Source organism: Homo sapiens, chromosome 3, assembly GCF_000001405.40.
Source record: "Homo sapiens chromosome 3, GRCh38.p14 Primary Assembly".
Lineage (NCBI taxonomy): Eukaryota > Metazoa > Chordata > Mammalia > Primates > Hominidae > Homo > Homo sapiens.
Window position 1 is genome coordinate 186,108,192 of NC_000003.12, and position 13,291 is coordinate 186,121,482.

At 47.8% G+C, this 13,291-nt stretch overlaps 1 protein-coding gene across 1 annotated transcript in view, besides 3 other annotated features; it reads right to left on the minus strand.

Moving 5' to 3' along the window:
• Window positions 1-898, minus strand: part of ETV5 (ETS variant transcription factor 5) — a 62,776-nt gene extending 61,878 nt beyond the window's left edge. The window contains exon 1 of the mRNA NM_004454.3: window positions 749-898. The gene's annotated coding sequence lies outside the window, so the exon portion shown is untranslated. The remainder of the gene's footprint in view (window positions 1-748) is intronic.
• Window positions 439-1,417: an enhancer, noted in NCBI's record as "OCT4-NANOG-H3K4me1 hESC enhancer chr3:185826419-185827397 (GRCh37/hg19 assembly coordinates)". NCBI's record gives its function as "activates a minimal SCP1, AML or CMV promoter by ChIP-STARR-seq in naive H9 embryonic stem cells {active_cell/tissue: H9 hESC(naive)}" and the evidence as "EXISTENCE:reporter gene assay evidence [ECO:0000049][PMID:30033119]".
• Window positions 451-550: a silencer, noted in NCBI's record as "silent region_14979". NCBI's record gives its function as "represses an Ori minimal core promoter by ATAC-STARR-seq in GM12878 lymphoblastoid cells {active_cell/tissue: GM12878}" and the evidence as "EXISTENCE:reporter gene assay evidence [ECO:0000049][PMID:35858748]".
• Window positions 581-1,210: a silencer, noted in NCBI's record as "silent region_14980". NCBI's record gives its function as "represses an Ori minimal core promoter by ATAC-STARR-seq in GM12878 lymphoblastoid cells {active_cell/tissue: GM12878}" and the evidence as "EXISTENCE:reporter gene assay evidence [ECO:0000049][PMID:35858748]".

Sequence of the window (13,291 nt, forward strand, 5' to 3'; positions counted from 1 at the left end):
CCACCCTCTGAAAATGCGGCCGGAACCCTAATCCGCTGCGAGGCTGCAGCATCTTTCGGTGCTGTCCCCTCCACACCCGTGTTATCCCCACCATCCCCAGGCCGCTGTTCCGGTGCGCCCCGATTTTCTCGAGTCGCCGCACAGCCGGACGCCCTCAGCCTGCTGGGTGGGAGCAGGGCGACTGGATGTCCACTTTCCACCACCTGAAACTTGCAAGGCCTGCGTAAGTTCCTGGTCGACCCCCGCCCCCGCAGGCTGCACTTGCCTGTGTCATTTACCCCCTCCCGGTGCTCTGGGGGGCAGCGCCTCTCAGACATTCCCCTCAAACTGCTTCCCGCCCCCTCCTCCCAACTGCGGAGCTCCGCCAAGCGTCTCTTCTCGCGAGCCTCCAAGTCCCCTCGGGGCTCTCGAATCTCCAGAGACTGTGAAAGCCTCGCAACTCCGCGATCCCCCATCCACTCGGGAGCCCCCGCACTCGCGCTCCGGGGCGCCTCCCCCACGACGTGTGGAAAGCCGCTCTCCCCGCGCTCCGGAACCGTTAGCCGCACCCGCCCGACGCCTCCCAGGAACCAAACCGGACCGGGCCGCGGGGGGAGGGGGCGGTCAACCCGGGGGGGGTCACCCCAGCTACTGCACCCCGACTTTGAAGATTCTGAATCAGCCCGTGAACTCTAGCCGGCTGGGCCTGTCGGACCAGTGGCCGGACGCCCCTTCCGATCTCCCCCCTGCCCCCGCAAAGCCCCCTCACCTGAGGCGGCCTCTCTCCTCCCCTTGCAGCGGCCCCGGCGGCGCAGGCGCGCTCACGCACGCGCGCAGCGGGCCTGGGCGCCTGGGCGAAAGGCTGGGCCGAACCGCTCCGAAGACGGTGAACCGCTCCGCGCACCAGCGGCTGGACTCTGCGCCGCAGCTGCCAACCAGGCTGGAGCGCTGGCCCGGCCCCCCGCGGCTCGCTGCTCCGCCCGCCGCCATTGGCCCGCGGCCCTAGCCCAGCCTTGTTCCCATTGGCCAGAGGCCGTTCCCGCGGCTGTCCATCACCTCTTGTTTACCCTGTCTGCGGGCAAATCCAACCAAGCCGCCCCATCAACTCCGGCCCCCATTGGCCAGCGGTGCATCTCTCTCCACCCCCTCAGGGGTCTGTTTTACATAATTTATGCACCGGGGGCCATTGGCCAATCAGCACAGGCTTGTTTATATAATGAATGTAAGGACGTTTTTCATTCATAAAAAACGCGACCTGAGGGGGAAGCTTAGCTGAGTCAGTGAAGCACTTAAAGGGGCCGAGGCCAGGAGGAGCCGCCGTTACTTCCCTTCTCGCCGCTCTCCCGACTTTTCACCGAGGCACGACTCTTCCCCCTTACCCACTCACCCCCACTTCTCCATCCAGCAAAGCCCCGACCAGAATTGGGTCTCTTGGCGCCAGACGTTCGCAGCTGCAGCACCAAGCAAAGTTATCATTTTAGAATTCAGGGGAGAGGAATTCGTCATTCCACACAAACTCGCTGACCGACCTGGGCGTTTAGCCCACAGAAACACAGAAAACGGAAACCGAGCCCTCTAATCTTAGTTACCTTTAAGAGAGGCCTTAATTTCTTTTAACCAGGTTTCCAGTGGGAAGAATAAGCAGCATCTCCTTTTAAAATCTCAGCTCTCAAACAGATTTTTGTTACTATTTTGTACTGGCAAGGCCTAAGACCCAACCAAATCCCGTTTTCTCTTTAACTGCGGCTCGTAACCTCCGCCAGAGTGGGTTCTGTAGTCGAGGTGAGACAGGGTTCGGGCTCAAAGAAATCCTCTCCGGGGACAGCAGCAGCCAGTCCACCGACCTGGAAACCTAAATCCCTCCGAAACGGGCATGCAGACTCAGACTTTTTGCCTCCCTCCCCGGGCTGCTTGTTTTCCATTTAAGTATTGAATGCAAGATGGTGTATTTGCGAATTAGATCCCGTGCAGCTGGGAACGACGAGAAGCGGCTCTGCTTGCCAAACGATAGGGCACTAACTGCAATTGCTGAGATTCTTAACAGGGTGTTCCAGGAAACAAATAAACAAACAATCCTCTCCCCTCTCCGCCCCCTTACCCCCTCCTGTGAAGGCCGTGGGGCGGCTCTATCTTCTCTCCGGGGATGCTGGGGGCCTGTGACGGAGCTCTGTTCTCGTCCTGCTGGAGTGCCCTGCCATTCACGCCGCGTGCCAGCGGTGGGGAGGAAAGATGCTAAGTGACAGGAGAGAGCCCCTAGCAATGGGGGTCCCACGGTGGCCAACTCTGGGGCAGTTCCTGCCCCTGCCACCCCCACACTTAAGTCAAAGGTTCTTTCCTATCTCCACTTGTGTCTCTTAAACAGAGCGGACACTTGGTCTGTCGTTTATAGCCCTTGAAATGTTGGCGTGCCCCTAAGCAACCTGCAGCACCCGTGTTGAGTCCTGGGCTCAGCACTGACCAGGCACGCTGGAGCTGTTGACTTTGGAAGACTGAAATGGGCATGAGTTGATGGATGGAAAGTACTCTGAACATGTAACAAGCAGTTCCTTGAGATCTAGTTTCCTGGTAGAACATTTTGCTTCCGACTCCAGTTTTCCCTTAGTGCCCTTTTTCTTTCTCCAGGTGGTACCGTTTCTGTTTGGTGGCTGGAGATCTTACACTAGTACAGTTGTGCTCTGAGCTTATTGCTGACATTCCTGAGAGCTCTATCTCCCTAGCTAGATGAAGGGCCCAGGTAAGCTCCCAGATCCTCCTCCTCCCCAATTTTGTCTACCCCCACTCCCGCTCCTCCCCATCCCATCCCATGACATCCTGCTCTCTAAACTCATTTTTCCAAAGGAGCTTTCTTACTCCTCTTCCCTTAAGTCTCTCAGGCCCCAGCCCTCCGGAAGGCTTACAGCCCACAGAGCCACATATCCTCACCATCTAAACCGTAACACATCAATCACACTTTATAACTTTGGCTACAGGAAAACAGTGCCGCACGCTTCACAGCAACTTCCTCACAGGGTTGGACCTGATGCCTGGAGTTTGGCTCTTGTGACCTTTGCCTCAAGCCAAGTCTCTCCATTCCACTTTGAAAAGAGAAGTAGGATAGTTCTGGGTTGAGTAGTAACAAATAGTGGCTCAGGTGGGGGCAGGGGAGGATTGGGCGATAGATTTTTTTTCAAAAATGCTTGTCTTGAACACGCGATCATGTGCAGGGGATTACACCAGAATAATTGCCAATTAATTATTGCGATTATTTAGTTATCCAGTAAACATGTATTTTGTACCAAATATTCAGCCAGACTTCGTGCTAGGCAAAAAAGTTGCAGAGATGAATAAGACCCAGTCTTTGCGTTGGAGGAGCCCACAGTCTGCTGTGTAACTTCAGTATCTGAAGTTTACTCAGCACTTTATATATGACTTGTTCATGCCATATATAATTCTTCACAGATTATCTCATTTAATCCTCATAATAATAGTACCAAAGTGGTCAGGCTATTAATGTCTCCATTCTATAATATATAGTTGAGAAACTGAGACACAGAGATTAAGTAGTTTGCCAATGGTCACAGAGCTTGAAAGTCAGTTGCTGAACTTGGATAGGAGCCAAGGTGGTCACATCCCAGAGCCCATATATGGGAGACCTAGCATCTGCCTCTCTTGTTCAGCGACTACCGGGAAACATCATTTCAACCCAGAGTGGTAAAGGACAGAGCTGGCCAAAGTCAAAGGAGGCAGATTTTAGCTCCAAATAGGGTTAGGAAGGACTCTGGGATGTTTGGAGTGGTCCAGCAAAGGAAGATTGTATCTGGCCCTGAGTCTTCCATCACAGGAGGCATTTATGCAGAAAGATTTAGGGATAGGGTAGAGGGACTAATGCATTTTCCAGGATAGAAGAACTCTGAGGATTGTTCCATCTCTCAGAGTCTCTGATTCTGGGAATTTGGAGGTTTGTGCTGGACAAGGGGTACAGCTCTTGGCACAGCCATCTTGGCTGCAGCATTAAAAGTCAGAGTACAGCCTGCGATGACCTGAGCCAGCTCCTGGGCCCAGGGTGGGCTCCTCATTTTTAAATATTTACTGATATCTTCTCTCCACTCTTCTTCCTTCTTCTCTTTATGATTTACCTCCCCGGCTCCTCTTCTTTTGTTATCTTTGCCTTTATAAGAGTTAAAGGTAGTATTTAGAAGTTCTTTGTCTATTACGTTGAGGCTTCCCTCCTAGGAACATTACTTACATGGGAGGTTTTGTCGAACAAGCATGTGTTCTAATTATCATTCCCTCTCCTCCAGGAGAGAAACAGGATTGGAAAAGAAAACAAAAAGAGAGACCAGTCCTCTGGCACATTCATCTAATGTCAATCTAGCCTTTGTCCTCTGGCAGTAGCAAAACTCAATCACAGCACGATAACTAGACCCTTGTTCTTTAAACTCAATTTGCAGTGTGTCTAGAGGGGAACAGTGTAGAAGAATAGAAAAGAAAGTACCTTGCCCCAAGCCTGAGAACTGTTACCCTTTAGAGAACTGCTTTTAGAATTTTCCCCTAAAATGCCAAAAGCAAGTTACCGTATAAGGCAGGCAACCCTGTCTTGAGCTGATCACCAAAATGATCGTGGGAAATATGGAAGCATCATGATCCTGGTTTCTCATACTGGGAAAATCCCTCCTCTTTCTCTGTTAGAAATGCCGGGGTGAGTGTAGACCTGCCTAGGGTTTGGGATGTGGGCTACAGTGCTCCTGGAGTCCTTTCCTATTCTTGTATGGGGGGAAGGAAGGGATTTGAGGAAAGGGTAAAAAAGGTACTGAAATGTTGGCCACGCGTGGTGACTCACACCTGTAATCCCAGCACTTTGGGAGGCCCAAGTAGGTGGATCACCTGAGGTCAGGATTTCAAGACCAGCCTGGCCAACATGGTGAAACCCCCGTCTCTACTAAAAATACAAAAATTGGCTGGGCGTGGTGGTGCATATCTGTAATCCCAGCTACTTGGAAGACTGAGGCAGAAGAATCGCTTGAACTTGGGAGATGGAGGTCGCAGTGAGCTGAGGTCATGCCACTGCACTCCAGCCTGGGAGACAGAGTGAGATTTCGTTTCAAAAAAAAAAAAAAAAGGTACTGAAATGTGTTTTTATTTAAGGGAGAGATAAAGAATCCTATCTTCCTTTCTAAAATTCAGAAATAAAGGCCCTAAAAACTTAAGGGAGAAAAGAACATCTGTTAGCTTCAATGTCTCTTTAAAAAATAGGGGGCATATTGTTTTTAGGGTTCCTTCCAGCCGGGGAATAGTAAAAGCTGACATTTACTGAGTACTTAATATGAGCCAGACACTTTGCTAAACACTCCACATGACTTGGCACAGTTAGTCCCAACAACAGCCCTCTGAGGGAGGTACTATTATCATTATCTCCACTTTTCATAGATGAGAAAGCTTAGGTACAGAAAGGTTCAATCTATTGCTCCAGGCCACATAGCTAGCACATAGTAAAAAAGGGAGTGTGCCCAAGCAACAGAGCCTGCTCCCCTAGGATCTGCCCAGGAGCCACTCTGCTGCCCTGTGGAAGCTGTGTGTGCTTAATGACAGCGGCCAGCACTGCAAGAACACTTCCCTGTGCTAGACTCTGTTTAGGGGCTTTGCTTATATTAACCCACTTGATCATCCTAATAACCCTGTGATACAGATATCATTATTCTCCCCGTTTTATAGATGAGGAAAGTGAGACAGAGAGGTTAGGTAACTTGCCCAAGGTCACACAGCTAGTAAGAGTTGGAGTCAGGCACCTAATGTAGATCTTGAACAGAGTCCTTGCTCTTATTCACTCTGCTCTGTCGTCTTAGTTCCTGCAGTCTCTCACTTTGTCATCTTGCCCCTCACCTTGTTCTCAGGGCTTTGGCTGCTTGCTTGCCATGCCAGTGAGAGCTGCTGTGCTTCCTTAGGAACCTGCTTCAGCAACTCCAGCCAGACTTCTGAATTATTGTCCTGGGCTGGCAAGGATTTGTCTTCATGAAAGCCACTTTAGAAAAAGAAGGGAAATGATGTTTACTGAGCATCTCCAATATGCCAGGCTCTGTGCTAGACACTTTACATACTACAGTGTTTCATTTAATACGCCCAATCTCTCTTTAGAAGTGGTAATAATACCCAATTTGCTGATATGAAAACTGAGTTTCAAAGTGAGAGGTTTAAAACCATGTCTGAGTTTCCTCAGTTAGAAAGGAGCAAGTCAGATCTCTGACAGAACACAGAATGCATGTTCTTGAGCCTCTGATCCAGCCAGTCTGGGGGACCTTATTCCTCTCCTGGTTCTTGACTGAGCTCGAAGACATCCTTTCTCCTGTCTCCTGCTGACTTTCAATTCTTATGAAACAGCCACTATCAAGAAAACCTGGAAGAGCATGTCCTATTTAGATTTCTGATGGCTGACAGGTTTATTTCTTAAGCCCACAACTTTAAAAAGAAACAACTAGCCCGGCGTGTTGGCTCACGCCTGTAATCCCAGCACTTTGGAAGGCTGAGGCAGGCCGATCACTTGAGGTCAGGAGTTTGAGACCAGCCTGGCCAACATGGTGAAACCCCATCTCTACTAAAAATACAAAAATTGGCCAGACATGATGGCGTGTGCCTGTAATCCCAGCTACTCAGGAGGCTGAGGCAGGAGAATCACTTGAACCTGGGAGGCGGAGGTTGCAGTGAGCCGAGATCACACCACTGCACTCCAGCCTGGGAGACAGATCGAGACTCCATCTCAAAAAAAAAAAAAAAAAAGAAAGAAGATGGAAATCTTAGGAAACTTCCCATGGCTTCTCCTTGACTTCAAAACTGAGTCCAGCTCTGCAGCAGAATCTGCACAGCAGCCATGCGACCCTGCAATCTCTCCCAAGCCTCCTGAGTCCTTTCATCTCACCATGCAGGGAAGAGCTCCTAGAGCCAGACACACGCCTGCATCCTTCCCTACCCCTGAGAAATCTGGGGGACTGCCTGTCTCCCATGAAAGAGCCTCGGGCTACTGGACTTTTGGTGGATCCTGTGTTGGATCTTCCGAGTTTTCCTGCCCCCTTTTCAATGTCAGGTTGTTAATCAGAACATCACGATGCATTCAGCACATGCTTCTCTAGCCCCTCACATCTGTTGTAATTTTCTGACTCTGATCTGCCATAGGCGTGGAAACCAGCAAACCAAGTGTGTTTGCAATGGGCATAGAGAAAGAGCCCAGAGGTTCTGAGTAGCAGCAAAAGCATCCCCTCCAATGAGGAAGTGGACAAACTTGGATGTGTAGACTTGGCAAAATCTATTTTGACCGCTCAGAGTCCTCTTTTTGCTTCCTTTTATGCCCATGGTGGTGAGTTTTATGTGACCAGGGGTTAACCCCTTCTGTGCCCTCCTTGGACTTCAGCTCCTACAGCAGGAGCAGGCTGACTCAGAACTTGCCCGTCTCGAGCTACGAAAGGCCTTGCTTCAGCCTCTCCCGCAGCTCCACTGGAAGAGACTAAGGGGCTGGCAGGGCTGGAGCGGGGCTTCTTCATAGGCCTGCTTCAATGTGGCAGCTGGAGAGCGGGTGGTAAGGCGGGCGGTTCTTTCAGCTCTTGGCTTGGTCTGTAGACGCCCACCTCCGCTGAGGCTCTGCTGGGCCTGTGGAGTGGGCTGTATTTATTTTGAGTTGGACAAAGGGAAGATCAACCATGGCCAACTGACAATTGAGCCCCCAGAACAAATGTCCTGTCAGTGGATTTGATCGCTTGGCTTCAAATGCGGGGTCCAGTCTGCCCTTTTAGCCTGAGGCATCTTCCCACTCATGGCCATGTCAAACCAAATAACCACAGTGAGTGTTTAAAAAGAAGTACACATCCTCTTCCCTCCTCTCCCCATCATGTTTCTTGCTAATAGTCTATCTTGCCTGCCTGTTGGCTCTGGGGCAGGAGGCAGCCTCAATTTAAACCAGACCCATCTGAAAACCTCTTCTCATCCCCGCTCCTCTCCCTTCTCTGCCTTCTCTCCTATCAAGAGGCCAAGCTATATGCCTAAAGATTTAAAATATGAGAACAGCATCCCATCCCAGGAGAGCCCTGAAGGCATCCAGGTTCTCTGTCTGTTCCTTCCTGCCCTAAGGCTCTACTTGGGTACAAGACACTAGCGCTCATGAAATGATCAGGGGGCACAGTTTCACTCCCATCTCCACGTTGACCTGTATTTATTTCTAGGAGGCTGGAAGTTCGGCATCCAACTCTCAAGAGGGATTATCAGCTTGATGTAAGGGAATGTTCAGGCGCCTCAATTTGGGCCTGTTTTGCATGTTTGTTTACTTTTTAATTGAAGTATAACATACATACAAGAAAATACACAAATCATAAATATATAACTCTATGAGTTTTCACAAAGTAAGCACCTCTGTGCATTCAATACCAATATTAAGAAACAGAACACTCCCGGCTCCCTTCCTCATCCCACCAAAAGCCGCCTTCATAGCCCTTACCAGTTGTTAAATCCCCTTCCCCACGAGGGTAGCCACCATCTTGGCTTCTGACATCACTGTTCAGTTTTGCCTGTTTTTGTACTTAATATACATGGAATCATACCATGTATAATGTGGTATCTGGCTTCTTTTCTTCAACATTTGTTTGGGATATTCATTCATTTGTAGTATGTAGTTATATTTCATTCATTCTCATTGCTGTATAGTATTCCACTGTATGAGTATATTACAACTCATTTACCCATGTTACTGTTAGTGAACATTTGGGCAGTTTCCAGTTTTAGCTATTTTTAATGATGCTGCTATGAACATTGTAGTGAGACTCTAGCACATCTTTTGGTAAACATCAACCTAATTTTAGTTGGTTCACTTAAGATGCAGTCATAGGAATTGTTTTAATCTCTTATTTCTTCGAAAAGTGACAGAGATCTATGACAAAAATTTCAACAGCACAGAAAGGTGTAGAATGAAAAATCAAAGCCTGTATATAACCTCCTAGCCTGTATCCATTTTCATGCATGATTAACAGTTTCTTGCGTATCATTCTGTTTTCTATTGCCCAAACAACTATATCTATGTGTTACAGCCTTTTAAAAATATAAATTTTATTATACTGTATTTCTAACCTTAGGTCCCCTCCACCCCAGCCCGTAACACTATAGAGTCCCAGCAATAAGTGGGTGAGCGTATCTGACCATGGAAAGTGACTGGTCCTTCCTTCTATCAGATAAGGCTGGGCAATCACTTTTTTTTTTTTTTGAGATGGAGTCTCACATTGTCATCTGGGCTGGGGTGCAATGGTGCGATCATGGCTCACTGCAACCTCTGTCTCCGGGATTCAAGCAATTCTCCTGCCTCAGCCTCCCGAGTAGCTGGGATTACAGGTGCCCGCCACCACACCGTGCTCGTTTTTGTATCTTTAGTGGAGACAGGGTTTCACAATGTTGGCCAGGCTGGTCTTGAACTCCTGACCTAAGGTGATCCACCTGCCTTGGCCTCCCAAAGTGCTAGGATTACAGGCATGAGCCACCGTGCCTGGCCTGGGCAATCACCTTTAATGGGTTCTTAAGGTAAGACACATAGGAGTTTGCACAGCAGTAAATTTCATTTTCACTTCTAGAAGCATTTGTTGAGTTGCTGGTGTCCTCAGCTTAGGACTTGTCTGAGAAAAGGTCACAGTCTAGTGGGAGGTGGAAGAAGGGCACAGGAACAAATAGCTATTGTACAATATTTACAGGTGTCTTAATAGAGCCCTGTAAATGGGTTCTGAGAGTACAAATGAAGGAGCAGTGAGTACTTCCTGTGAGGGTCAAGGAAGGCTTTAGAGAGGGTTGACATTTGGGACAGCCCTTGAATGATTAATTACTCAACTTTGCTTTGCAGAGCAAGTAGCTTTCCAGGCAGAGGGAACAGCACACACAAACATATGGGGGCTTGGCAATAGCTGGCACATCTAGGGACTGTTGATTCCTCATGTGTGTCTAAACTGTAGAATGTTAGGTCTGGGGGAGATATGACTGGGAAAGGGCTAGAATGGGTATTTTAGGGACAGGACATCAAGGGTCTTAGAAAATCATTAGAGGGGTGACACTTCACATTTTGGAATCATTGAATACATCTCTTAGGTACTTAAAAACAATCAACCAGGCTGAGCGTGGTGGCTCACACCTGTAATCCCAGCACTCTGGAAGACCTTGAGCCCAGGAGTTCAAGACCAGCCTGAGCAACATGGCGACACCTCATCTCTACAAAAAAAGAATGCAAAAATTAGCTAGGTATGGTGGTGCGTGCCTGTAGTCCCAGCTACTTAGCGGGGCTGAGGTGGGAGGATCACTTGATCTAAGGAAGTGGTGGCTGCAGTGAGCTGAGATTGTGCACCACTGCACTCCACCCTGGACGACAGAGCAAGACCCTGACTCAAAAAACAAACAAACAAATACCCAACCAACCAAACAAACAAAAACTCAATCAACCAAAAGATAAAAACCTCTTCAAACGTCACAGCGTTTGTGATGTCTTCAATTAAAGCACAGATCACATTATTTATGCATCTGTATTTCCTGTGACACAAATTCCTCTTACAGGGAACCTCTCAGACTCTTGTCTGAATCCTTCAGCCCCAACCACAGCACCTGGCACTTAGGAGGTGGTCACTAAAGGATGACTGAAAATGTGAATGAACATGTGATTTCTACCGCACAGCAAAACACTGTGCCTGAGAAAGGGGCGGCTGGGTTACCTTCTCTTTGTGGACTTAAGTTTTACAGGTGCGCAGCTTCTGCCTTGCTCACATGGTGGGAGAAGAATGAGGAACTGGTAACCTGGCCTCTGCAATAGCTCAGTGTGTGTGGAGGGAAGCACCGCATTTCCTTAGCAGCAGTACCTGGACCCTGGGACACCGAATTTCATTTTGGTCAGATTAGGAATGGCATGAAGCTCAGTGGGACCCTAGGGCCTCATCTTAGCATTTAGCAACCCAGAAGGAGTTCATATTGCACCCAAATTCCCAAGTCTCCCATTTGCATGTCCTTATTTAAGTCTTGTTCAGAAGGAGGACTTCTACCTCCTCATTGACTCATTCCACCTAGGTCCCTTTCCCTTCCCGACAGGTGTCCCTGGGGCTGGGCAATAGTGATCAGGTTGGAAGAACCACTTTCCACTTCTCCTCTGGTCTGGGAAGATTGGGAGGCTTCAGGGTCCCCCCTAAAAAACAGTGTCTCACTTACCCCTGGTGTTCCTGGTCCTCACCATTGTTGCCAGTTTCCCTGGGATACAATCCCATGCATCTGGAGGGTCTTTAGGCAGCCAAGAAAAATCAACATTCCAAGGCTTTCCTTTCTGCCTGACCATCAAGGAATTTTCTTCATCAAGTAGCATCCTGGTTGGGAGAATTTTGTATACCTTTGACTTGAACTGCCTTTGAAATCTTTCCTCACTCTTCTTGCCCCTTGCTCCATAACCTAATTGCTTTGTATATTTATCTGGGTTTCATCTAGATCTTCCCACCTAGGAATGTTCGTCTCGAACCTGTGAGCTGACCTTAGGGCCTGCTCCAACAGGGTCTGTCTCCATCACAGGGGAATGTACCAGCTAAATATGGACTTCCCCTTCCTCCCTATTAGTTAAACTGCTTTCGATGACAAGATGCAATTTTTCATTACAGGATCCATGTTTTACCCATTCCAGCCCACACATTCCTGACTGGAATGCGAGTAGCATTCATTTACAACTATGTGTACACCTTGTAAATGTAAATGGTAACTAGGTAATCCATATGGTAATATGGTAATGGCTCTATAGACTCTTGTCTGAAAGAGGCTCTTTATTTATCCAAAGATCTTCAGTGGCTTAAACCACCTCCCCCTGCTTCCCAGATGTAATGTTTTCTCTCAAAGCTACTAAATTATACCTGTGCTTCCTTGTGGCAGCTGGGATATGGTGAAAAGAGCATGAACTTGGAGCCAAAGCCCCACATCCTATCTCAACTCTGTCATCACTGACTAGGGGACTGTTGGCTCAGGCTGTTTCATTTCTCCGCATATCAGTCTCCTATCTGAAAAATGGGAATAATAACTCCTGTCTTATAGGGCTGTTTGACTGTTCAATGAGATAAAGTATGTGAGGATGTCCAGTGCCAGGTAGATGTGGGCAGTGGAAATGGGTTTCCATCTTGCAAAGTGGATGAATTTGAGCCAATAATTTCATCTCTCTGAGCCTCAGTTTTATCATTTGTAAAACAGGGATAATAATGCAAACCTTAAAGTTTCCAAAAGGAATAAATAGAATATTTTGAAAAGCATCTAGCAGAGTATCTGGAATAGAGTAGAAATGTAATACATTGTGCTCTCTCCCAATTTTTCTGTATGAATCTTGTCGCTAGGAGCTCACCTTTCATGACCATCAGTGACCTTTTCAGTAAGATCCACAAAGCTGTTCTCTGGGGTAAATGCAATAGTTCCCACATCTTCCTTCTCAATGTGATATTTCCTCCTTTGTAGATTTCACTTAGTGTTTTCTTCTTTACTACTTTTCTCTGATGTCTAGTGTTTCTCTCTTCCTCACTGATTTCCAAAGAAACGAAAGGGATTCTGTTGGATCTCAGGACAGAGTTCAGAAAGCCTTCATGGAGGATGGGACCTTGCAGAATGCCCAAGTATTCTTTGGCAGAAAAGGGGTCATGGAGATCATAAGAAGAACGGTATGATGAAGGCATAAGTGTGTATGAGTCTGATATGTTGGAAGAAGAAGAGTGTGTCTGAGGCAATACTTTGTAAAGTCACTGAGATGTCCCGGCTCTTAGCAACCACAATTTTCTTAGTAGAACATTATGACTTTTTTTTTTTTTTTTTTTTTTGAGCCTCAGTCTCGCACTGTTGCCCAGGCTGGAGTGCAGTGGCGCAATCTTGGCTCACTGCAAGCTCCGCCTCCCAGGTTCACGCCATTCTCCTGCCTCAGCCTCTCGAGTAGCTGGGACTACAGGTGCCTGCCACCACGCCCGGCTAATTTTTTTGTATTTTTTTTTTTTTAAGTAGAGACGGGGTTTCACCGTGTTAGCCAGGATGGTCTCGATCTCCTGACCTCGTGATCCACCCGCCTTGGCCTCCCAAAGTGCTGGGATTACATGTGTGAGCCACCTCGCCCAGCCTGAGTTTTTTTTTCTAAAAAAAAATAAAAAAGACTACCAGAAAAGCATGTGGTATATACTTCTATCGTATGAACCAAAACAATTTTATTAGTAGAAAATGGGAATTTATTTTATGTGTGCATATAAAATCACAACCATGAGCACGTGTCTGTGAAATAAACAAGCTGTTGAAGGACACGTGATGGGCTGCTCCTGAGGCTTTTCCATGATTA